General features: G+C 40.0%; 1 protein-coding gene across 1 annotated transcript in view, besides 2 other annotated features; it reads right to left on the bottom strand.

Moving 5' to 3' along the window:
• CES5A (carboxylesterase 5A) overlaps window positions 1-24420 on the bottom strand; it is a 109878-nt gene that overhangs the window by 77203 nt on the left and 8255 nt on the right. The gene's annotated exons all lie outside the window — the stretch shown is intronic.
• Window positions 14742-15243: an enhancer, noted in NCBI's record as "NANOG hESC enhancer chr16:55972010-55972511 (GRCh37/hg19 assembly coordinates)". NCBI's record gives its function as "activates a minimal SCP1, AML or CMV promoter by ChIP-STARR-seq in naive H9 embryonic stem cells {active_cell/tissue: H9 hESC(naive)}" and the evidence as "EXISTENCE:reporter gene assay evidence [ECO:0000049][PMID:30033119]".
• Window positions 18624-18793: an enhancer, noted in NCBI's record as "experimental_43479 CRE fragment used in MPRA reporter constructs". NCBI's record gives its function as "activates a minimal promoter by MPRAs in K562 erythroleukemia cells, with activity observed for both the introgressed and non-introgressed 16:55975977 variant alleles {active_cell/tissue: K562}" and the evidence as "EXISTENCE:reporter gene assay evidence [ECO:0000049][PMID:34662402]".

Genomic DNA, 24420 nt, shown 5'->3' on the forward strand with positions numbered 1-24420 from the left:
TACAAAAAGATTATAAGAAACTAGTATGAACAACTATACTCCAACAAATTGGAAAACCTAGAAGAAATGGATAAATGTCTGGACACATACAACCTATCAAGATTGAACTATGAAGAAATACAGAATCTCAATAAACCAATAATAAATAATGAGATCAAAGCCATAATAAAATGTCTCCCAACAAAGTAAAGCCCAGGACCTGATAGCTTCACTGATGAATTCTATCCAACATTTAAAGAAGTAATAAGAATTTTTCTCAAACTCTTCAAAAAAATTGAAGAGGACAGGACACTTCCAAACTCATTCTATGAGGCCAGCATTATCCAGATATGAAAATCAAATACGGACACAATGAAAAAAGAAAACTACAGGCCATATCACTGAAGAACTTAGATGCACAAATCCTCAACAAAATACTAGCACAAAATACATCACATTAACAGAAACAAGAACTAAAACCACTTGCTTATCTCAATAGATGTCAAAAAAGCATTTGATAAAATTCAACATCCCTTTATGATAAAAACCCTCATCAAACTGGGTATAGAAGGAACATGCTCAAAATAATACATGCCTTATATGACGAACTCACAGTTAAGTTCATACTGAATGGGAAACAATTAAAGGCCTTTTCCCTAAGATCTGGAATAAGACAAGTATGCCCACTTTCACCGCTTTTATTCAGTATAGTACTGAAAGCCCTGGCCGGAGTAATTAGGCAAGAGAAAGAAATAAAGGGCATTCCAACTGGAAAGAAAGAAGTCAAATTATCCTTATTCACAGATGACATGGTCTTATACTCAGGAAAACCTAAAGAATACACACACAAAAAAAACTGTTAGAATTGATAAACAAATTCAATAAATTTGCAGGATACAAAATCAACATACAAAAATCAGTAGCAATTAAATATGCCAATAGCAAACAATATGAAAAAGAGATCAAGAAAGCAATCCCATTTACATTAGCTACAAAGAATATAAAATACCTAGTAATCAATTTAACCAAATAAGTGAAAAATCTATACAGAAAACTATAAAACACTAATGAAAGAAATTGAAGCTGACACACACACACAAAGAAATATATTCCATGCTCATGGATTTAAAAAATTAATATTGTTAAAATGACCATACTACCCAAAGCAATTTATAGATTCAATGCAATCCCTATCAAAATACCAATGATATTCTTTACAGAAATAGAAAAAAAATTCTGAAATGTATATGGAATCACAAAAGACCCTTAATAGCCAAAGCAATCCTGAGCAAAAAGAACAAAGCTGGAGGCATCATACTACCTGACTTCAAAATTTATTTCAAAGCAATTGTAACTAAATCAGCGTGCTACTGGCATAAGAATAGACACATAGACCAATGAAACAGAGTAGAGAACACAGATATAAATTAAACACATTTAAAGGACAATAAATGATGCTGGGAAAACTGGATATCTACATGCAGAAGAATGAAACTAGACCCCTATCTCTTACCATACACAAAAATCTAAACAAAATGGATGAAAGACTTAAATCTAAGACCTGAAACTTTGAAACTACTAGAAGAAAACATTGGATAAACGCCACAGGACATTGGTCTGGGCAAAGATTTTTTGTATAAGACCTCAAAAGCACAGGCAACCAAAGCAAAGATAGACAAATAGGATTAGATTAAGTTAAAAAGCTTCTGCACAGCAAAAGAAATGATCAACAAAGTGAAGAGACAACCCACAGAATGAGAAAATATTTGTAAACTCTCAACCGACAACAGATTAATAATCAGAATATATAAGGAACTCAAACAACTCAATAGCAAATAAACAATCCAAATAAAAATGGGCAAATGATCTGAGTAGACATTTCCAAAAGAAGACATACAAATGGCCAACAAGTATATGAAAAACAATGTTCAACATCACTAATCATCAGAGAAATGCAAATCAAAACAACAATGAGATACCATCTCACCCCAGTTAAAGTGGTTTTTATCAAAAAGACAGGAAAAAACGGATGCTGGCAAGAGTGCAGAAAACGGAGAACCCTCGTACACTGTTGATGAAAATGTAAATTAGCACAGCCATTATGGAGAACAGTTTGGAGTTTCCTCAGAAAACTAAAAATAGAAGCACCATATGATTCAGCAATTCAACTACTGGGTATATGTCCAAAACAAAGCAAATCAATATGTCAAAAAAAATCTCTGCATTCCCATATTTATTGCAGCACTACTCACAATAGTCAAAATATGGAATCAACCTAACTGCTCAACAGTGGATAAATGGATAAAGAAAATGTGATATATACACACAATGAAATATCTTTCAGCCATAAGAATGAAATCTTCTCATTTGCAGCAACATGGACAGAACTGGAGGTCATGATGTCAAGTGAAATAATCCAAGCACAGAAAGACAAATATCACATGTTAAATGGGACTTAATCAAACTAAAAAGCTTCTGCACAGCAGAAGAAATAATCAACAGAGTAAATAGACAACCTACAGAATAGGAGAAAATATTTCCAAACTATACACCTGACAAGGGACTAATATCTAGAACCTACAAGGAACTTAAACAAATAACTCTTCTGTGGGAGATAAAAAAGACAGGTAAGGGTAGAGAGGAGGGGAAGAATGAAGAGAAGTTGATTAATAAGTACAAATATATGGTTTCATGGAAGAAATAAGACCTAGTGTTTGCTAGATCTGTAGAGTGACTATAGTTTATAACATTCTATCATACATTTTTAAATAGCAAGAAGAGATGAATTAACATGGTTCTGGAATGAAGAAAAAATATCTAAGGTTATGGACACACCAAGTACAATGATTTGATCCTTACAAATTATGTGAATATATTAAATTAGCACAAGTACCCCAAAACTATGTACATCTATTATGTATAAATTTTTAAAAAAGAATAGAAAAAAGGCAATAAATCTGTTCATTGTCCTTCAACCAATAACTATGAAGGGACTTCAACAAAAGTTGTGGAAAATGGAATTAAAAGATAACAAGAATATAAATTTTATCAGCAGAAGCTGCATCAAGTTCAAGATACTTTTGTAAGCATTAATGTCAGCCATTTAGTCCATCCCTAAAGAACTGAGGGTTCTTGCAATTTAACCATGTCAGTGAAGTCATTTTTATATTTTTAACTGAAGAAAAATGAGTGCCCCTTACAAATTTTTTAAGATTAGGAAATAAAAATAAGTCAGAAGAGGCCAAAGCAGAACTTTAAGGTGAATGCCTAATGGTTTCTCACCAAAACTCTGGCAAAATTACCGTTGTTTAATGAGAGAAATGAGCAGGAATATTGTCATGCTGGAGAAGGACTCTCTGGTGAAGCTTTTCTGAGCATTTTTGCTAAAGCTGTAGCTTTCTCTAAATATTATCATAATAAGTAGATGTTATTATTCTTTGGCTTTCAAGAACGTCAACATGCAAACTTCTGTGAGCAGCCCAAAAAACTGTTGCTAAGACCTTTGCTCTTGCCCAGTCTGCTTTTGCTTTGACTGAACCACATCCACCTCTTAGTAGCCATCGCTTTGATTGTGCATTGTCTTTAGAATTGTACTGGTAAAGCCATGTTTCCTCTTCTGTTACAATTCTTCAAAGAAATGCTTCAGGATCTTGATCTCACTTATTTAAAATTTCCATTGATGCTGGGAAAACTAGATAGCCACATGTAGAAGAATGAAACTGAATCCCTGTCTCTCACCATATACAGAAATTAACTCAAGATGAATTAAATACTTAAATAGAAAAAAACTAAAGACTTAAATGTAAGACTTGAAACCAGAAAAATCTGAGAAGAAAACCTAGGAAAAACTCTTCTGGACATTGACCCAGGCAAAGAATTTATGACTAAGACTCCAAAAGCAAATGCAATATAATCAAAAATAATAAATGGAGCTTAATTAAATGAAAAGGCTTCTGCACAGCAGAAGAAATAATCAACAAAGTAAATAGACAACCTACAGAATTGGACAAAATATTCACAAACTATACATCTGACAAAGGACTAAGATCTAGAATCTGCAAGGAACTCAACAAATCAGCAAGGAAAAAAACAAGTAATCTCATTAAAAAGTGGGCAAACTACATGAATAGACATTTCTCAAAAGAGAATATACAAATGGCCAACAATAGTATGAAAACAAATTCTTAACACCACTAATCATCAGGAAAATGCAAATTAAAACCACAGTAAGATATCACCTTGCCCCGGTCAAAATGGCCAATTTTTACAAGTCAAAAATCAATAGATGTTGGTGTGGATGCAGTACAAAGGGGATGCTTATACATTGTTGGTGGGAATGATGTAAATTAGTACAACCTTTATGGAAAACAGTATGGAGCTTTCTTAAAGAACTAGAAGTAGATCTACCATTTGATCCAGCAATCCCATTACTGGATATTTACCCAAAGGAAAAGAGGTTACTATATTTTAAAAAGTTACCTGCATTCATATGTTTACCACAGCACAATTCACAATTGCAAAGATATGGAATTAACTTAAGTTCCCATCAACTGACAAGTGGATAAAAAAATATGGTATACATATACCATGGAATACTACTCAGCCATAAAAAAGAATCATCTTTGAGGCTGGGCGCGGTGGCTCACGCCTGTAATCCCAGCACTTTGGGAGGCCGAGGCGGATGGATGACGAGGTCAGGAGATCGAGACCATCCTGGCTAGCACGGTGAAACCCCGTCTCTACTAAAAATAGAAAAAATTAGCTGGGCGTGGTGGCAGGTGCCTATAGTCCCAGCTACTCGGGAGGCTGAGGCAGGAGAATGGCATGAACCCAGGAGGTGGAGCTTGCAGTGAGCCAAGATCGAGCCACTGCACTCCAGCCTGGGCGACAGAGCGAGACTCTGTCTCAAAAAAAAAAAATCATCTTTTCCAGCAATTTGGCTGGAACTGAAGGCCATTATCCTATGTGAAGTAACTCAGGAACGGAAAGCCAAATACTGCGTGTTCTCACTTATAAGTGGGAGCTAAGCTATGGCTTTGCAAAGGCATACAAAGTGGTATAATGGACACTGGAGACTCAGAAGGTGGAAGGGTGGGAGGGGGATAAGGGACAAAAAAATCCCCTATTTTGTACAATGTACACAGTTCAGGTGACAGGTACACTAAAAACCCAGACTTCGTCACTATACAGTTCATTTATGTAACCAAAACCCACTTGTACCCTAAAGCTATTGGAATTTGTTTAAAAGATACTCAACCTTAATCTTAACAAGAAGTAAACGTCATTTTTAAGAAATAAAATAAAATTTCCACTGAGACTGTGCTCTTGTCTATAGCTGATCTGGGTGCAACAGTTTTGACACCCATCAAATATAAAGTTTGCTCAGCTTTTTCAGTCAGAATTTGGTAAGCTAAACCAATTGAGATGTCTATGGTGTTGGCTGTTGATTCTGCTGTTAATTGTTAGTCCTCTTCAATGCCTTTCCCCCATCCCCTGCTGTCCCACATGCTCCTGACCTGTCCTTGTCTTGACAATCCTACCTGTGTCCCCAGGACTCAGAGGTCCCAGGTGACTCTGACCTCACATCATGGGAAGGTCTTCTAGCATGCGTCCAAGGCCCTAGATGGATGTCGCTTGCTTCCCAGCCACAGCCTGCAGGACCATAGAAGCAGGTTAAGTTCAGGGGTGGAGCACAATCTGCAACATTAAAGACACAGGCAGGTCCACAGACCCAGAAGGTCTAGAAGCACATGGCCAGTGGGCTCTAAGACTCCACAAGCTGGAACCAGGGCTCACCTGGAGGTGAGCGGGTCACGTGGGCAATAGAAGGGAACAGATTAGGGTTTACCAAGGGAGCACATCAGAGTAGCCCCAAGGCATGGCCGAGTCAGACCATGAGATGCTTCCCACTCTCCTGGTAAAATGGCTTCCCAACAGCCTCGCCAAGGGAGGTGGGCGCTTGGCTCGCAAGCCTGGCTGGCAGTCACATAGTGCAGATGGGCTGCTGACAGCATCCCCCTCATACCCCCTCCTCAGAATCCCCAGAAGAGGGGGCGAGCAGCATGCCTGCCCGTACATCCCCTCCTGTCGCATTCAGACAATCTGGCTGCATCTCTCATGTGCACCCCACCCCCATGACTCCCCACATCCACACTGGCCCCTCTGCGCCTCCACATCCACAGATCCAAGTCATCACTTCAAAATCAGAGTGCTTCAAAATTAGGGCCAGGCCCAACATTTATGGAGACACCCTAAATACTCAGCAATCAAGATAAATACTATTTTCATGCAATATTTTTAAATGAGTGCAAAATATGTCCATGGTGAACAAACTAGCAAAAATTTACATGAAGACAGCATCCGACAGGGCATAGATTGTATTGAAGAAAGTGAGGTCGAATCATGAAAGTGCAGGATTAAATGCTGTCTTTATTGAAAATGTTGATGTTTTGCTCACGATGGAATGTTTTTTGCATTACTTTGAAATTTTTTAAAATATTTTTAAATATTGCAGAAATCTATCTTAAGTACTGATTTTTGGCCCCCACTTCAGTTCTGAGGCTGAAGTGAGAACCTTGCTCTCCTCAGCTTAATCTCAGTTCTGTAAAACCCAATTGTGGCCCCCTCACCACCTTCCTTGGCCCAGCAGTGGCTCCCCAATATTGTCAGGGCAAACTCTATGTCCTCTAGGTCTTCGTGGTTGATTGGATCCCTGCCCACCTCTTTGTCCCAATCACTAATGGTCAGATGGAACACACCCACGTAGCCATAAAGATTGTTAGAACATTGAAAATACTTCCTTATCCCAAGCACACCTACACCAAATGTTCCCTGACATCCTCCCTCCTCCCCCAGCAACCTGTCAGAACCCCCCACAATTCAGCAACCAAAGGACCAATGTCTGACCAACTGGATCCCCTAGGCTCTGCATATGCAATATTTTAAATAGTCCCCTGTCCAGCATCATCCTTTGCCAGGCTTCTCTCCCTGCTCCAGCCACACCAGCCTTTGCCCTGTCTCTCCGAATATGCTGTTCCCTCTGCCTGGTACTTGATACCTTCCACTCCCTGCCCAGTTATCTCTGACTTATCCTTCAGATCTCCCCCAAGTGTCACTACTACAAGGAGTTATCATAAGAGAGGGTCTATTATAAAAGCCAGTTTGGTTCTGGTTTTTGCACCCCTTAGCCATGTGATGCCTTGTGCCACCTTGGGACTCTGCAGAGAGTCCCCACCAGCAAGAAGGCCCTTGCCAGATGCAGCCCCTCGATTTTGGACTTCCCAGTCTTCAGAACTGTCCCAGGCTTTTCTGACTCCCTTTTGAATGGTTCTCTTCATGCTATGTGTTACTTCTGTGGTTCTAATCACGGTTGTAATTTTACATTGTTTGTGTGATTTTTTAAAAATCAGTTTTCCAGTGCTAAACTGTAGGCTTCATGAAAACAGAGAGATTGGGCCTGTATGTTTTATCTCCAATGCCTATCAAAATACTGACACATAGACACATAGTATTCCTTCTCCCTTGAGAAGGGGAATGGAGGAGATGCATAAGAGCCATTTATAGGAATGTCTTAAGTCATAGACAAAAAAAACAAAAAAAATTACATCCTACTTCAAGATCATGGTGCCTGAAATCCCACCACCAGTATGATTCTGTAAGGTTGGACATTTTTGGTGGATTACCAATTAAGCCCAAAACCCCATTTTCCATATGGAGAAATCAAGGCCCAGGTAGATAAAATGAGTTTTCCAAGGCCATACAGTAATTAGTGACAGAATCAGGGTTCTTGACTCCTAGTCCAGTGCTTTTTCCACTCCACCCTCTGCTATTCTTTCTTCATCCCAGGAATTACTTCCAATGTCCAAACTTCTCTACTGTAAATATCCTTCCTTCTCATTCCCTTCCTGCAGTCTATTTTCTACACAACATGTATTAGACAGAATGGAGTTGGGAGCCATGGAGAAGAGAAATCTATGCAGCCAATGAGGAACAGAGGCAAGATCCTTTAACCAAAGGTCCTCCACCTCACCATGATGCCCAAAAGGAATTAGCCTAAGTTTGTTCTGCCACAACACACGTGGACTCAGTCAATGACAGCCTACTGATGCAAGGTCAAGTGCAATCTTCTTAGCCTGACATGTCAGGCCTTAGATGATCTGGCCCTTGCTCTGTCTCCACCCTATCTCTTGCTATTGCAACTCATATCCCACATTGCAGTCATTCTGGACTGGCCTTAACCCTATTCTCACCCCTCTGATCCTTTATGCATGCCACTTCTCCTTTCTAAAAGGCCCTTCTCTTAATCTATCAGGCCAACTAATAGCCCTCTGTCCTTTGGGGCCTGCCTCAGGAATCCCCTTATCCAGGAAGCTCTTCCAACCTTCCCCCAAATTAGGTTAGATTGGGTTGCAAACCCACTGCACCCTGACTCCTGGCCTCTCACTACTCAACCATGAGATTTCTGAGGACAGGGACCTTGCCTTGGGCATGCTGTGTCTCTGATGCTGAATCATGTGATGCTTATGAAGCATCTACCACATGTTAAATGCATATCAGACATGGGCTGCCATGGAGTTAATGTTTGGCCCCTCTGAAACTCATGTTGAAACCCAATCACCAATGTCGCATTATGAAGAGGTGGGACTTTTAAGACCCTCATTGGGTCATGAGGGCTATGCCTTCATAAATGGATTAATTCACTCAAGGATTAATGGATAAATGGATTGATGGGTTATCAGAGGACTGGGTTGGTTATCACAAGAGTGTGTCTATTATAAAAGCCAGTTTTGTTTTGACCAGGAAGTGCCATGTGTCACTTCTCTTCACAGCTCATTGGCCAGAACCAGTCACACATGCAATTGCTATCCATGTGATGCCCTGTGCCACCTCAGGACTCTGCAGAGAGTCTCCACCAGCAAGAAGGCCCTCACCAGATGCAACCCCTTGATTTTGAACTTCCCAACCTCCAAAACTGAAAGAAATAAATTTGTTTTCTTTATAAATTGCCCAGTCTCAGGTATTCAGTTGTAGCAACAGAAAACAGACTAAGACACTGGGGGTACAATGATGAATACAGGTCTCTGTTCTTGTGGAGTTTACTGTCAGTGGATGAGACAAAGAGTAAATATGTTAGTTAGTTAGTTGCTTACTTCATTTGTTCATTCATTAAATGATAGATTGTTATTAGTGTTTAAAATAAATAGTGTGTGATGACAGAAAATAATGGGGGGGGGAGGGTGGGCAACTCTGGATAGAGTCATCAGGGAGTCCTCTCTGAGAAGGGTGAGATCTAACCTGAGACCTGAAGGATAGGAAGGAGCCAGCCATGAGACCAACCAGGCAGAGGAAATGCACAGGCAAAGACCCTGCAAAAAGAAAGAGCTTGTTGAGTCTGAGGCAGAGTAAGCAGCTCAGTGAGCTAGGGGCTGATGAGATGAGGTTCAAGAGGGAGGCAGGAGCCAGATTACACAGCAACTCAGTGATAAGTGCAACAGGAAGCCATTGAAGAACTCTGATCTGGCTGCTGCGTAAAGAATGAATTTGGGGGATACAAAGGTAGGAGTAGGGACATTAATTAGGTGACTATTCCACAAAATTTGGCAATGATGATGGAAGTTCAGACTAGGGTAGCAGGAGGGAGAAGAAAAATTGTGTGAAGATAAATCTGATATCTCAGTAGTTAAGTAACACTCAATACATACAGAGTTTATTTTTTGCCCACATGAGAGTCCAGTGTGAATTGGGAAGTCCTTCATCTTGCAGCTCTACCATTTGGAATACATGGCCTTCAAGGCCTATCAGGGAAAGAGAGAGATGAAGGAGGCACGTCATGGGTTCTTAACTGTTTTGACCAGGAAGTGTCATGTGTCACTTCTCTTCACAGCTCATTGGCCAGAACCAGTCACATGACTCCATTCTAACTGCAAAGGAGAATGGGAAATGGCGGGGAGGACATGGGATATCTCATAAGCACTTTCTGATGGAAATGGACTTACTCAAGATACCCTTTCGAGGTAGAAGTGATCTGACTTGTTGATAGATCAGATGTAGGGATTTGGGATAGTAGTGATAAAGAAATGGGAAGAGTAAGGGATAATTCCCAGATTTCCCTCATTAGCAATTGGGTGTAGATTTAACATATCCCAAACTAAACTATTGCCCTTCCCTTCCAATGAATCTGCTCTCTTCCTCCATCTTAGTTGGTGAAAATTCCATGTTTCTGGTTTCTCAGTTCAAAAGCCTTAGAGTCTTACCTGAATTGTATACTTTAAGTGGGTGAATTATCTCACTAAAGCTGTTACTATATGTATATACATATACATGACACATATGTATATACATATATACACATATCTAGAATCTGTTCACTTATTTTACCTCCACTGCTACTACCCTGGTTCCAGCCACCACCATCTCTCACCTGGACCACTGAAACACAGCAGCCAGAGTGATTCTGTTATAATGTAAAACAGAATAGGTCATCATCTGCAAAATACACAGCAAAGACTAAAACCACATTCTTTGCAATGGTCTACAAAGGCCTACATACTATGACCTCTCTTTCGTAACCCTTGACCCCACCTCCTCCTATCATCTCCTCTTATTCATTCTCATCCACCCACACCAGCCTTCTTGCTGTTCCTCCAATGTACCAAGGGTTCTTGTCTCAGGGCCCTTGCACTTGTTGTTCCTGCTCTCTGATTTGCTCACTCATACATCTCCTTCTCAATACTTTGCTCAAATTTTACCTTTATAGTGGGGTTTCCTTGACTGTCCTATTTAAAATTGCAATCCAACCCCAACCTCAATGTGTTTAATCCCCTTTACTCTATCAACACTTTTAGAGTATTTATCACCTTCTAATGTATTGTATAATTAATTATTTGTTATAGCTAGCATTATTGTTCTGCCTTTCCTCACTAAAATGTAAATTTCAAGAGAATGTATATTATTGTTTTGTTCACTGATGCATTCCAAGCATTCAGTAGACATTCAGTTAGTATTTGTTGATTAAATAAATAAATAAATATGTGAAATGTGTCATCACGTGGAATGGAGAAGTCTCTGGACCATAGTAGGTGCTCAGTAAATATCTATTAATTTAATATCAGTACAATATTGATCCACGGACTGGACTTAGAAATGTTTCCCACTGCATGGGGATAGGGATTAAATGAGATTATGCATAAAGTGCTTGACCCATAGTAGATTCTCAGTAAGGGTTAATTTACTATGACTTTGCCTCAAAAGTTATATTCTTCATTCTATTAGTCAGGATTATCCAGAGAAATAGAACCAATAGAAACCAAGAAATTGTGTGGGGTGTGTGTGTGTGTGTGTGTGCGCGTGTGCATGTGCACATGCATGCATGTGTGTCAAGAGAGGAAGAGAGAGAAATTATAAGATACTGCCTTGTGTGACTATGGAAGCTGTGAAGTCCCAAGGTCTGCAGTCAGCAATCTGGGGGCCCCAGAGAGCCCATGTGTAGCTCCAGTCTAAGCGCAGGGCCTGAGACGGGAGAGTTACTGGTGTAAGTTTTAGTTTGAAAGTTGGCAGCCTAGAGACCCAAGAAGAACCCGTGTTTTTTGTTTTGGGTTTTTTTGTTTTGTTTTGTTTTGTTTTTTTGAGACAGAGTCTCACTCTGTCACTCAGGCTAGAGTACAGTGGTGTGATCTCAGCTCACTGCAACCTCCACCTCCTGAGTTCAAGCCATTCTTGTGCCTCAGGCACCTGAGTAGCTGGGATTACAGGTGTGCACCACCACGCTTGGCTAATTTTTGTATTTTTAGTAGAGATGGAGTTTCACAGTGTTGGCCAGGCTGCTGTTGAACTCCCAACCTTAGGTGATCCACCCGCCTTGGCCTCCCAATGTGCTGGGATTACAGGCATGAGCCACTCACTGTGCCTGGTCTAATGTTTCAATTTGAGTCCAAAAGGTGGAATAAAAAAAGATATCCCAGCTCAAAACAGGCAGAAAGAGTTTCTTCTTATCTGTGGGAGAGTCAGCCTTTCTGTTCTATTTCAGCTTTCAACTGATTGGATGAGGGCCACCCACATTAGGAAGGGCAATCTGCTTTACTCAGGCTATTGATTCAAGTGTTAATCTCATCTAAAAACAGCCTCACTGACACAGCCAGAATAATATTTGGCCAAATATCTGGGCACCCCATGGCCCAGTCAAGTTGACACGTAAAATTAATCATCACATCCATCTTAGAATATGATTTCTTCTCCTTCCATATATCCAAAGTCCAACCATCCTTCAAGGCCCAGTAAAGAACCACCTCTTCCTACAAGCCTTCCACCACACTCCTTTTCACTCTGAGTTCTATACCATTTTTAAACTTTATTTATAGTCAACCTCAGATTCTCTCTGGGTAGATGTCTGTGTGTAACTTCTTTGCCAGTGCATTCTTCTATGAACTCTCCTGGTGATGTTTCATTCACTAATGCTTTTTTTTTTTGGCATATTCTTTCTTCCATACACACTCCACCTAGTCCTTCTGGCAATGTATACAGTATGAGAGACAGGCATGCCTTCCAACTGTCTCATCACAAAGTTATAAGAAATAGAAGTTAATAAACAGGAAGCAACATATAAAAACATTGAGTCAAAGAGATGGCACACAAAAGCTGAAATTTCCATTGCTGCCAATATTCCAATCTGTAGATGGGTCTTTAACAGTCCCCAAAGTAGGGAGCCCATGAGCCCATGTTCTCAGGCCTTTCTTCCTCCTGACTTCAGTTCGGCATTCTCTGATGTGGTGCTTCAACTCTCACTCCTCCTTGGATCCTCTGTCACCTCCAATCTTCCCAACACTCCAGTAGCCATGCTGTTATTTCTGGACCATCCTCAGCAGCATGCCTAACTTCCCATGATACTTGGAAATCTACTTTCCATGCCTCAAAGAATTAATGGAAGAGAAAGAATTCATAAAGAGACCTGGGGTTTGCCTTGCACAATGCCATCTTTGCAGCTCTGCAATCCCACGTCTTCTCCTCCTGTGTGTGTTCGTATGGAGCACTTACTGGAAAATCCATTTGAGGATCCTCTAAGATCTCTGCCCAGTCAGATACTTCTCCTCCCACACCCTTCTGGCCATGATGCTCTTTATATCAAAGCATCTACATGCTGCAAAGTGGGATCATCCTATGGTGTATCTTTTCTGTTGGACCCAAGCATACACCGGGTTTCTCCAGCTGGCCACTAAGTCTGAGGGCCAGTTCTTAGTCCAATCTTTTTTTGTATCTCCCTGACTTTTAGTAGTAGGTGCTCCTCTAATCCCTGCTAATCACTGAGTGATACCAATACAGATCAGAGGATTAGCTAATTCAGTGGAGGGATGCTTTTTGAGAGTAGACATTAGGCTGCTAGTAGCTTCCACCAGCCAAAATAGTTTTTATTTTAGGTGACAGGGGTCACACGAAGTTGAGGAGCACTTCAATGAGGAAAACATTTTTTGAGTATCTATTAAATATAAAGTATTGTACTGTAGCATTTACCAAGTGTTTACCATGTGTAAGACATCATCTCATATGCTTCATATATATCCATACACCTTAAACAATTTAATCCTGAAAACAACTCTGGTGAGGGAGCATTATAATTATACTCCCTTGACAGATGAGGAAACTGAGGCACACAGATGTTAAGTACAACAGCAAATGGGCTACAAGAGACCAGGCAGATACATGATACTATCACGAAGAGCAGAGTAAGACAAATACCACAAGAAAAGAAAGCAGAGAGGGTAGTTCTCTCACCTGGGATTTCCGTATGTGCTTTGCCTACCTGGAGAACTTAACATGTCCTTCAAGACCCACCTCAAGATCTGTGCATTTTAGTAAAGCCTTCTCTAACCCCTTCCCCCAGCAGAGCTGTCTCCACCCTTTGTTGGCCCCTCCTGCTGAGACATAGCATTGGCCCAACCCCAATCACCTTGCATGATGACTGCTTCCATATCTGCCTCCCTCGCTGGGCCATGAACTCTCCTGGAGGGCAGGGACAGATTGTGCTTCAAGGCCTTCTCAGCACCAACCCTTGTTGATGATAAAGCAGTGAGGCAGGCTTACCTAAAGGCCTCCATCCTGAAGTGACATGTGACTTCCACTCACATTCCATTGCCCGCAGCAAGTGGCATGCTTCTGGTTGCGTTCTACACCTCACACTTTGCCTGGTGAAATTCAGCTATGCCAAAACAAAACCAAAAAAAACATGGGGATGGGGACTGCCAGTTGGCTGAGTGACAAACAGGTGGCGGATGGCCAAGCCAAGTGGGCATATCATACTCACAACTGGGACGCCTGCAAAGAGGCACTTCTGGAAATGTAGGAAAGTTGTGAGTCTGGATGGTGTGGGCTATGGTGGAAGCCTTTGGGACACAGAAGGAGCCCACGCACCTTCTTCATAATTCTTCTCTTTATGTTAATTATCAGCCTGACCTTGGACAGGGCCCTTTCCCAAAAGGGTCCTCTTTCTCTCCATTGGCAAAATATTGGGCTACAAGCTTACTGTCTTGTGGTTGTAAGATTCCATGCTCTTGACAACCATGCCAGGCACCTGCCTCATCTATGTGCCAAAAATGTTATCTACCCCCTAGTTTGGGATCCTGAGAAATTTTAGCAAAATTTGCCAAATACTATAGAGAAATAGATACTTTTCCTTTCCCATTTTTAAAAATCATCTTTTTTTCTACCCACAACAATTTTCTCCTCCTCGAATACTGAGTTCCACGAGTGAATAAGCTATGTCATCTCTAAGTTTCCAGAAATGTAGATTCCATGGATCGAGGGAAAGAAGGGATGAACCATCTTTTCCCTTTCGTCACAGGAAGCTGCAGCACATTTCCAAAGTAAGATGGGCTTCTAATTATTAAAAATAAACTCTGGCCCACAGCCTGATTTGCACATTAATGTAGCCAGCAGATGCAGACTTGCAAACATGCTCTCTGGCTCCATACTGAGACCCAGCTTCTCTGCCCATTTTTCATGCTGAGATTCTCTAAGGACAACCATTTCTGTTTGGAGAACCATGAAATCAGCTAATTGCTCTCTCAAGGAAGGGGATGCTGCCCTAGGGCTTAAGGGGGCAATGGTTCCCTAGATTCTGACTAAGGAACTTAAGGAAGATGAAAGGAAACTTAAGATATGTAGATATGTTGGGAGGCCAAGGTGGGTGGATCACAAGGTCAGGAGATCAAGACCATCCTGGCTAACACAGTGAAACCCCGTCTCTACTAAAAATACAAAAAATTATCTGGGTATGGTGGCGGGTGCCTATAGTCCCAGCTACTTGGAAGGCTGAGGCAGGAGAATGGTGTGAACCCGGGGGCAGAGCTTGCAGTGAGCCAAGACCATGCCACTGCACTCCAGCCTGGGGGAGAGAGTGAGACTCCATCTCAAAAAAAAAAAAAAAAAAAAAAAAAAAAAAATATATATATATATATATATATATATATATATACACACATATATATATATACACACACATATATATATATACACATATATATATGTAGATATGTATTAAGACTTTTAATATTAAGTGGCAGAAACACCAACTGATACTGGCTAATGCAGAGGAAGTGGGGTGGGGGGTTGTTGTTAATTTGTTTTGTTTTGTGTTGTTCATGTACCTGAAAAGTCTAGAATGTGGGAGATGATTACTAGTTTCAGGAATGGCTGGATCTATGTGCTTTGGCAAGCTGATTAGGAGTTTGTCTTTCTCTTTTCTAGCTCACTTTCCTCAATGTGCCCTTTTACTCTCAGGCAAACTCTTCTCAAGCTGTAACAAGATTTCATCCCCATAGGTAAATAACCCCAGTGAAGAGAAATTCTGTTTCCTACTAGTTCCCACAAAAGTATCAGAAATGACCCTTGTACAATTTAAATCACATGCTCAGTCCTCAACCAATCATTGCAGCTTTGGGATAGAATACATTAACTGATCAGATCAGAGCACATGGAAGTAGGGTTGAGGTCCACCCCACTCACATCTCATGAACTAAGAGTACAAAGGGGTAGTTCCCCAAAGAAAAATCAACTTTAAAACCTGGACTAAATATGTGCACTGTTCTGAGGACTCTGTATAGTAAATACTAACAGGTAGATAGGGAAGTAAGACCAGAACTCAAAGTTCTATTGAAGTTATGAATTATTTTTTCCCCTCTGTTATTCTAGGACCAGAAGATGACATGGCCCCCTGACACCCTGATGTGGTCATTAACATAAATAGAGAGCTCTAGGAGACACTGTATAGTTCTGGGTCAAGAAGTAGGAAAGGGAACTCCTACTCTTAGATAGGAATGAACTGAAAAACACCATCAACAAATAAGACCTTACTGACATTTATGGAATACCCTCATCCAACAAAAGCAACATTCAATTTTTTTCAAGTGCATATTAAATATCCACCAAGATAGAGCATGATCCTGGATCATAAAACAAGCTTTAACCAATTTAAAATAATGGAAATTATACAAAGTATGTTCTCAAACTATAATGGAATTAAACTGGAAATCAGTAAGAGAAAAACAAGAGGAAAATATCTAAATGCTAACATATTAAACAACACACTTCTAAATAATTCATAGGTCAAAAAAGAAGCCCCAAGAAATATGAGAAAATATTTGAACTGAATGAAAATAAAAATACAGCCTATCAAAATTTGTGAAGTGCTTCTAAAATAGTGCTTAGATGAAAATTTATAGTATTGGTTAAAAAAGAAAGAAAAACAAAACTGAAAAAAAGAAAAATAAAGATCTCAAATCAGCCATCTAGGCTTCCACCACAAGAAACTAGAAAAAGAAGAGTAAAACAAAACCAAAGTAACCAGGAGAAAGAAAGCAGTAAAAGTAATGCAGAATCAATGAAATTGAACCTGAAAGGCTATGGAGAAAGTTAATCAAGTCAAAGGTGTTTTTTCAATAATTGGAAAAATCAAAATGTGTCTAGCAAGACTGACAGAGAAAGAAGAGATAAGATACAAATGATTAATATCAGGAATGAAAGAGAAGATATCACTACAGGTCCTGTGGCCATTAAAAATAATAAGGTAATACTACAAACATAATACATATAAATTCAAAAACTTAGATAAAATTGAACAATTCTTGGAAAACCACAAAAAACAAAACTCATCCAAGATGAAATGAATAACCTAAATAGTCCTATACTTATTTTAAAAATTGAATCTATCTTTTAAAACCTTTCAAAAAAGTCATTTCCAGGCCTGATACCTTTACTAGAAATTCTACAAAATATTTAAAGAAGAAAAAATAATAATTCTACACAATTTCTTTCAGAAAATAGAAGTGAAGGAAACATATACCCAACTCATTTCATGAAGCCTGTATACCAAAAACATACAAAAATAGCGACAAATAGAAAACTGCAGACTAATATCCTTCATAAATACAGAAGCAAAATTTCTCAGCAAAATAATAGCAACCAAATTAAAAAAACACATACACAACCAAGTGGAATTTATAGCAGGAATATAAGGCTGATCCAATATTTAAAAATCAATCAATGTAATCTACTATATTAAAATTTTAAAAGGCAAAATACATCATCATACGTAATCCAGAAAATGCATTTGACAAAATGCAACAATTCATGATAAAAAAAAAACCTCTCCATAAACTTGAAATAGAAGAAAACATCCTCAATCTGACAAAGAACAAATGTAAAAAGCCTACAGCTAACATTCTACTTAATGGCAAATTATGAATGTTTTTCTTATCAGATTGGGAGAAAGGCATGGATGAATTCTCACTGCTCCTTTTTAATATTGTACAGGAAGTCCTAGCTATTTGCAATAAGCAGAGAAAAGAATCAAAAGGCATACAGACTAGAAAAGAAGAAATAAAACCTTCTATTTGTAGATGACATAGCGTTCTATACAGAAAATCCCAAGGAATCTATAAAAGCTTCTAAAACTAATACCTGAGTTTAGCAAGATTGCAAGGCAACACACAAAATCAATCATATTGCTATATATTAGCAATGTATAATTGGAAAACAAAATTTTAAAACAATGTCATTCACAATACCCCTCCAAAAAGTGAAATACATATATAAGACCTGTATGCTGAAAACTATAAGAAATGCTTATGAAAGAGGTTAAAGAAGACCTCAATAAATGGAAAGATACACCATGTTCATGGATTGCAAAACTCAGCATAGTTACAATGTCAGTTCTTCCCAAAATGATCTACATATTTAACACAATTCCAATAAAAATCCCAGGAGGATTTTTTTTTAAATATTGACAAGTGGACTTTCGAATTTATATGGACATGGAAAAGAACTAGAATAGCCAAAACAATTTTGAAAAAGGAATTACAAAGTTGGAGCACTTACACTACCTGATTGTATGATTTCCTATAAAGCTTCAGTAGTCCAGATAGTGTGGTGTCAGCAAAAGAACAGGCACATAGATAGCATAAGGGAGTTTCTTGGGGTGATCAAATCGTTCTATATTCTGATTCTAGCAGTGGCTGCACAAACCTATACCTGAGTTAAAAGTCATAGAACAGTACATCCTTCCAAAAGTCAATGGTACTATCTTATACTTTTAAAATAAAATTTCTTTTTAGACCTTTTAATTGAAAAATAAACTTCCAAGGCGTTAAGTCAGTTCACTGGCGAAAAGAAAATGTTTTTAACAGAAGCGCTGAAACAATCCATATGGAAATGAATGAACTTCAACTCTATCTTCATTCCATACACAAACATAAATTAAGACAGATCATAGACCTAAGCATAAAAGTGAAAACCATAAAGCTTCTAGAATAAAACACAAAAGAATACTTTTGCATTCTTAGATTAGACAAAGATTTCTTCAGACATTAAAATCACGAAGCATAATGAAAACAATAGGTAACTTGAACTTAAATTTTAAAATCCCTACTTATGAAAAGACGTCATTAAGAAAATGAATAGTAAAAAACACAAATGGGGAGAGGTTTTTGCCACATTTATATCTGACAAATGACTTGTGTATAACACATAAAGAATTCCTACAAATCAACAATAAAATGGCAAGCTACCTTTTTTAAACTGGGCAAATAACTTAAAAGATACTTCACAGGGGAAGATACACATATAGCTAATAAGAAATGGTATTTAACATCAATGCAAATTTTAACTACAGTGAGACACCGTTTTATGCTCACCAGAATGGCTATTCTAACAATACAAAATGTGGAACCTATGAACCATCTGGAACTCTGGTGTGTCACTGTTGGGAATGTAAAATGGTACAGCCATTTGGATATCTATTCAGCAGCTTCTACTAAATTTACTCATGTGTCTATTGTATGCTTCAACATTCCACTCCTATTTCAACAGAAATGGGTTCATATGTGCACTTAAAATGTGGAAGAGGATGCTCATTGCAGTCTTAATCATAATATCCAAAATTGGAAATAACTCAAATGTTTTCCATAGTAAAATAGATAAACAAATAGTGGTATGTCCATACAATAAAATACTATTCTGCAGCAGTAAAGGAAAAAACAACCTGGATGAATCTCAAAAACATTACAGTGGACAAAGGAAGCCAGGCACATAATAGCACATACTGGGCGATTTTGTCTATGTCAAGTTCTAGAACACACAAAACTAAGCTAAGGTGATAGGAATCAGAACAGTGGTTGCCTGCGGGCTTGGAAGGTTGGCTACAAATGAGCCCAAGAGAACTTCCTGGAGGGATGTAAATACTTTGTAGCTTATTTTGGATAATGGTTTCACAGCTGATTACAATTTTCCAAACTCATGAAATTGAACATTTTAGAGTTGCGCATTTCTATTGTATATAAATTTTACCTCAATTTAGTTAAAAAAGAAACCATTTATAAATGTAGCACTTTATTTTCTACAAACCATTTTCACATCCATTCCCCTATTCCCTCCATGTAATCTTCTCATCAACCCCAGGCAGTAGGAAGATCAGGATTATTGTACGAATGAGTAAACTGCGAGAGATCAGAATGAGGGAGCGACTCCCAAGGTCACACACAGAGCAAGCTTTTGCCAGAGCAGGGACTAAAGCCCAGGTGTTAGGACTCCACAGCCAGTGCTCCTTATGCAATGCCTTGTTTTTCAACGTGTTATCCCTTTCTCTCTGGCATTACAGAGATCCCCAGGGGCACAGTAAATGTCAGCTTCCTCAATTCTCACCACATTAATCTCTTTTGCATACCAAAATTCTGCCTAAGATTTCATTGAAAAGTTTGTGAATTACTGATGTTACAAATGCTAAAAATATGCTAAAACAAACATACATATCCAGTAGCTTCTCTTTTCCTTTGCATAGCTTTGTGGTATAATTTGGGAGACATTAGAGTCCAATTTTCACTCTGGGCTGAAAACAGTTATATCTGTTTGAAACAGTGCAGGCTCCAGGCACCAGCTATTATACCAGAGTACACAGAACAGAAAGACAGGCCGGAAAGGAAGGGCTTTAACCACAGTGTGATGTCAGCCTAGTCATTCTCCCTCTCTGAGACTCAGTTTCCCCATCTTTCATACAAGGAGCCTGGACCAGATAAGCTTTAACTGAGTATCCAGTAAGAGGGTCTAGAGCTGAAGGGGCAGTATTCATCTTCTTCTGAAACCTCCCATATGAGCATTATCAGCCCAGGTATCCCACCTGAGGATTCTCTTTCCAGGGAAAAATCGCAAGTCATTGAGGTGAAGGGGACTCACCTCCATGCAGAGAAGTGACCAAGACCTCCAGGATAAATCATCTTCCATTTCCTGTCCAAGGAGACTTCAAGGGATCTGACAACCTCTCTGTATTACTTATGGGCTAAGAAATTGTATTGTGAAGACTTGGGTCCCAGTCCTGGTTCCATCAATAGCTGACAGTACGACTCTGAACAAGACCCCTCTCCTCCAGGGACTTTTTGCCTCACCCATAAAATGGAGTTAATGGCCCCTGGTGACCTCCTGGATTGTTGAGAAGATCTAATGAAGTAAAAGGTAAGAACATGCTTTGAACAGAATAAACTCTCTACCACCATTGGGGGCTCTCATTTTTGGGGAGAGGGAAGCCAGGGGCATCTTCTAGTCCCTGCAGTGCGGTCCAACCTTTTTTCCCCATCCCTGTGCAGTGCCACTCAGACCACTAGATGGCGGTAGCTGTCACTTGCCAATTCTGGAAAAAAGGGTGTGGGAGAGCCAGGGGGCCGTCTGCTTTAGGAAAACTAGGCCAAAGCCAGCCCGTTACATCACTTCTGATCCAAGCAGCCAGTTCAGTCTAGATTTTTCCTTACTGCAGGCGACAATGCAAAAAAACTTCCAGGCTCTTGCGCATTTCAACGCTAACTGTTCGGCCTGAAAAATGTCCTTAACTCCCAGGGATTGGTCCTGCAGGCTCTGCCCCATCTTCCCTGGGTACAGCTTCTCTACTTAGGGCCTCCTACTGCCCTCTCCAGATACCCCACCCTCAGCCATACTTGAAGTGAATTTCTCGTCCTGCCTTTAAATCTCAATCTCATTCATCAGGCACTTAATGATATCTACTTGTGTGCAAAGGCCTACACCAGGGCCCATGCTGGAGTAAGTGGGACCCAGACCCTATACTCAAGGGAAAGAAGGGGGACTACAAACTACATGAGTTCAAATCCGCCTCTGCTTCTCACTTGCTATATGCGTGATTTGAACCGGTCACTCAAGTTTTCTCTTCTTCAACTTTCTTCATTTTAAAATGGGGTTAATAATAGGCTTGTTTTATTGTTAAATGAACTCATACTGGCCAGTTCTTTGGCTTGGAATGGGGTCTAGCACTTCATAAGCAATAATCATTTATTGAGCACCTATTAGGGGTAGGTACATTATCTGATTTAATGCCCAAATTAATAGCTTGGAATGGGGTCTAGCACTTCATAAGCAATAATCATTTATTGAGCACCTATTAGGGGTAGGTACATTATCTGATTTAATGCCCATATTAATGGCTTGGAAAAGTTAAGCAATTTGCACAAGGTTGTTCAGTGAATCAGAAGCAAAGTTAGAATTTGAACCTGGTCTGTCTGACTCCAGGAGCGCTGCCTTCAGCTGTTCTTACAGAAAGTGAGCAGCTAAACAAAGGTACCAAGGGACCAGCAGACCTGCAGACTATACGGCCAGTCCCAGCAGCACAGCTGCAAATTGGGCATCCTAAATCTGCCATTCGGGTCTCAGTGATCCTGTTCTGGATTTAGCTCTAGCACTAACTGGGGACTAACGCTAACCTCTAGCACTAACCCCTCCTTGGGACTCAATTTATTCACCTATAAACAAGGCAGCTTGATAGATCAGTATTTTCCACACATGTCTAGTTGTCAAAATCATCTGCGGTCTTTCTTGAAAGTATGGAATTCTGGACTCCACGTCAGGTCTGCTAAAATAGAATCTCCAGGGGAAGGGTCTGCAGATCTATTTTTAACAAGCGATTCAGAAAACTCTTAGGACCAGGAAAGATAGGAAAGCATCCTAGGCCCAGATGATCTTAGCAATTCTCCCAGCTCCTACTATCACTCAGTCAGGCTCTTGATCGGCCTCCCTACAGACCCATCATGAACACTACAGTCCCTCTCCCTATGCCCCAGGATTTGACCCTCCTGAGCAATTCCCCACCCTGCATGGATTTGATAGCTCCTTCCTTCCTGTAAGGCACTTAGGCTCTTAAGGGAGGTAAAGCTATTTAAATAATGAATGGAATTTACAGTAGCATTCGGAATTCACTTAAGCAATAGAAACATGATTGCAGTAAAGTCCCTTAAAAATCTTTTCATCGGGTTAGAAAGAAGATAAAGTAACTTCTCCCTTGACTTTCCTAATATGCAAACCAGGATGTTTTGACAAGACTCAATTCTAAATTTCTGCAATGTCCATTTGGAAGGTGTAATGTTCACTGTCAGAATAACAGTGCCCTGCTGCCCCAGTCTGATATACCCAGAAGCTGTAGGTCAAACCACATTTCAGGCCAAGGGCAGGGTTACCAGCTCCTGTGTCCTGGTGGGGAGCCTTGTGAAAAAAAAATGGGAAAGAAGCTGCAAGGCACAAAGCCAGCCCCAGCTCCATTCTATCAGTTTGTACTATAAATCCTGTCGATCCTTGTTCTTCCTGTTTGCAGAGTCATCAAACAGCAAAACTGAGCAATATTGGCTGCCCATTTTTCCTCCTTTCTGTTGCAGTCTCTCAGTTCCTATGAGCAGCTGACCTCACTAACCTGAAACATACCTGAAATTCTCACTGTTAGGCCATGCCCTTGGGCTTAGGGAATGTTTTCTGGAAGAGTGTGTACCTTGGGTTGAGTTTTGGAAGATTGGTGTATCAGTCAGCTATTGCCATAAGAATGCCACATAACAAAGCACCCCAGTACTCAGTGCTTACAGCATTCAGTTATTCTCACTCATACATATGTGGGTTAACGGGGGCAGCTCTGCTGATCTCACTTGGGCTCAGCTGAGTTTGGCTCTGGCCTTTGGTTTGATCCAGGTACTCCAGGCATCCCTCAGTTCTTGGACCACCAGGTTAGCCAAGACGTGTTTCTCTTATTGTGATGGAAGAAGCCCAAGAGGACAAGCTCACCACTCAAGTCTATTTCAAGCTGCTGCTGACTTCACATCTGCTCACATCCCATTGACCAGAGCAAAGGGCAATGACATACAATCTGCCCAATGTGAGGCCAAAGCAAGTCACAGAACACAGGAGGGGCATGGGAAGGTTAAAATGGAAAGAGAGCCAAGTACTTGGGGCCACTCCCTGCAGGTGGGATGACACCTGGGAGGGACCCCGGGGAAGTTAGAGCTGGGCTTCATTTAGAATTCACTTAAGCAATAGAAAAACAGTTGCAGTAATGTCACACCAGGTTGTTTGCATCAAACAAATCACAATTTCAGCAAAAGATCAGATGGAGAAGAGACACTGAGTGATCATCTTGTCCCACCCCCTCAGCTTCCTGATAGCCTGATACGAAAAGGGGCTTATGGAAGGTCATTAGGCAAGTAAGCAGCAGAATGAAGAATATTATCTGTCCTTAGGCAATTTTCCCATCTGAGATGCTCCTAAACAGTCCAGGGAATTAAAATTTCATTTATTGACAAACATTTATTTAGCACTCACTCTGTGCTAAGTACTGTTCTGGATGTTAGGAATAAAGTGAACAAAACACTTCTCATAAAGCTTCCATTCTGCTTGGGGGAGGAATAGACTAAATAAACAAGGAAATCCATTGCATGGTGATAAGTGTTATGAGAAAAAATAAACATGGCGAGGGAGATGGTTAGTGCCAAAGTTGGGGTTGTAGGGAGAGGAAGTTAGTGTCATTGATTGGGTAGTGAAGGAAGGTCTCAGATAAGATCACATTTGAAATGGAAGTTGAAGGAAGTGAGGGGAGGAGCCATGAAGATATCTGGGCATTTTCAGCAGGGAGAACTTCAAGTAGGT

The sequence above is a fragment of the Homo sapiens genome, chromosome 16 (assembly GCF_000001405.40).
Source record: "Homo sapiens chromosome 16, GRCh38.p14 Primary Assembly".
NCBI lineage: Eukaryota > Metazoa > Chordata > Mammalia > Primates > Hominidae > Homo > Homo sapiens.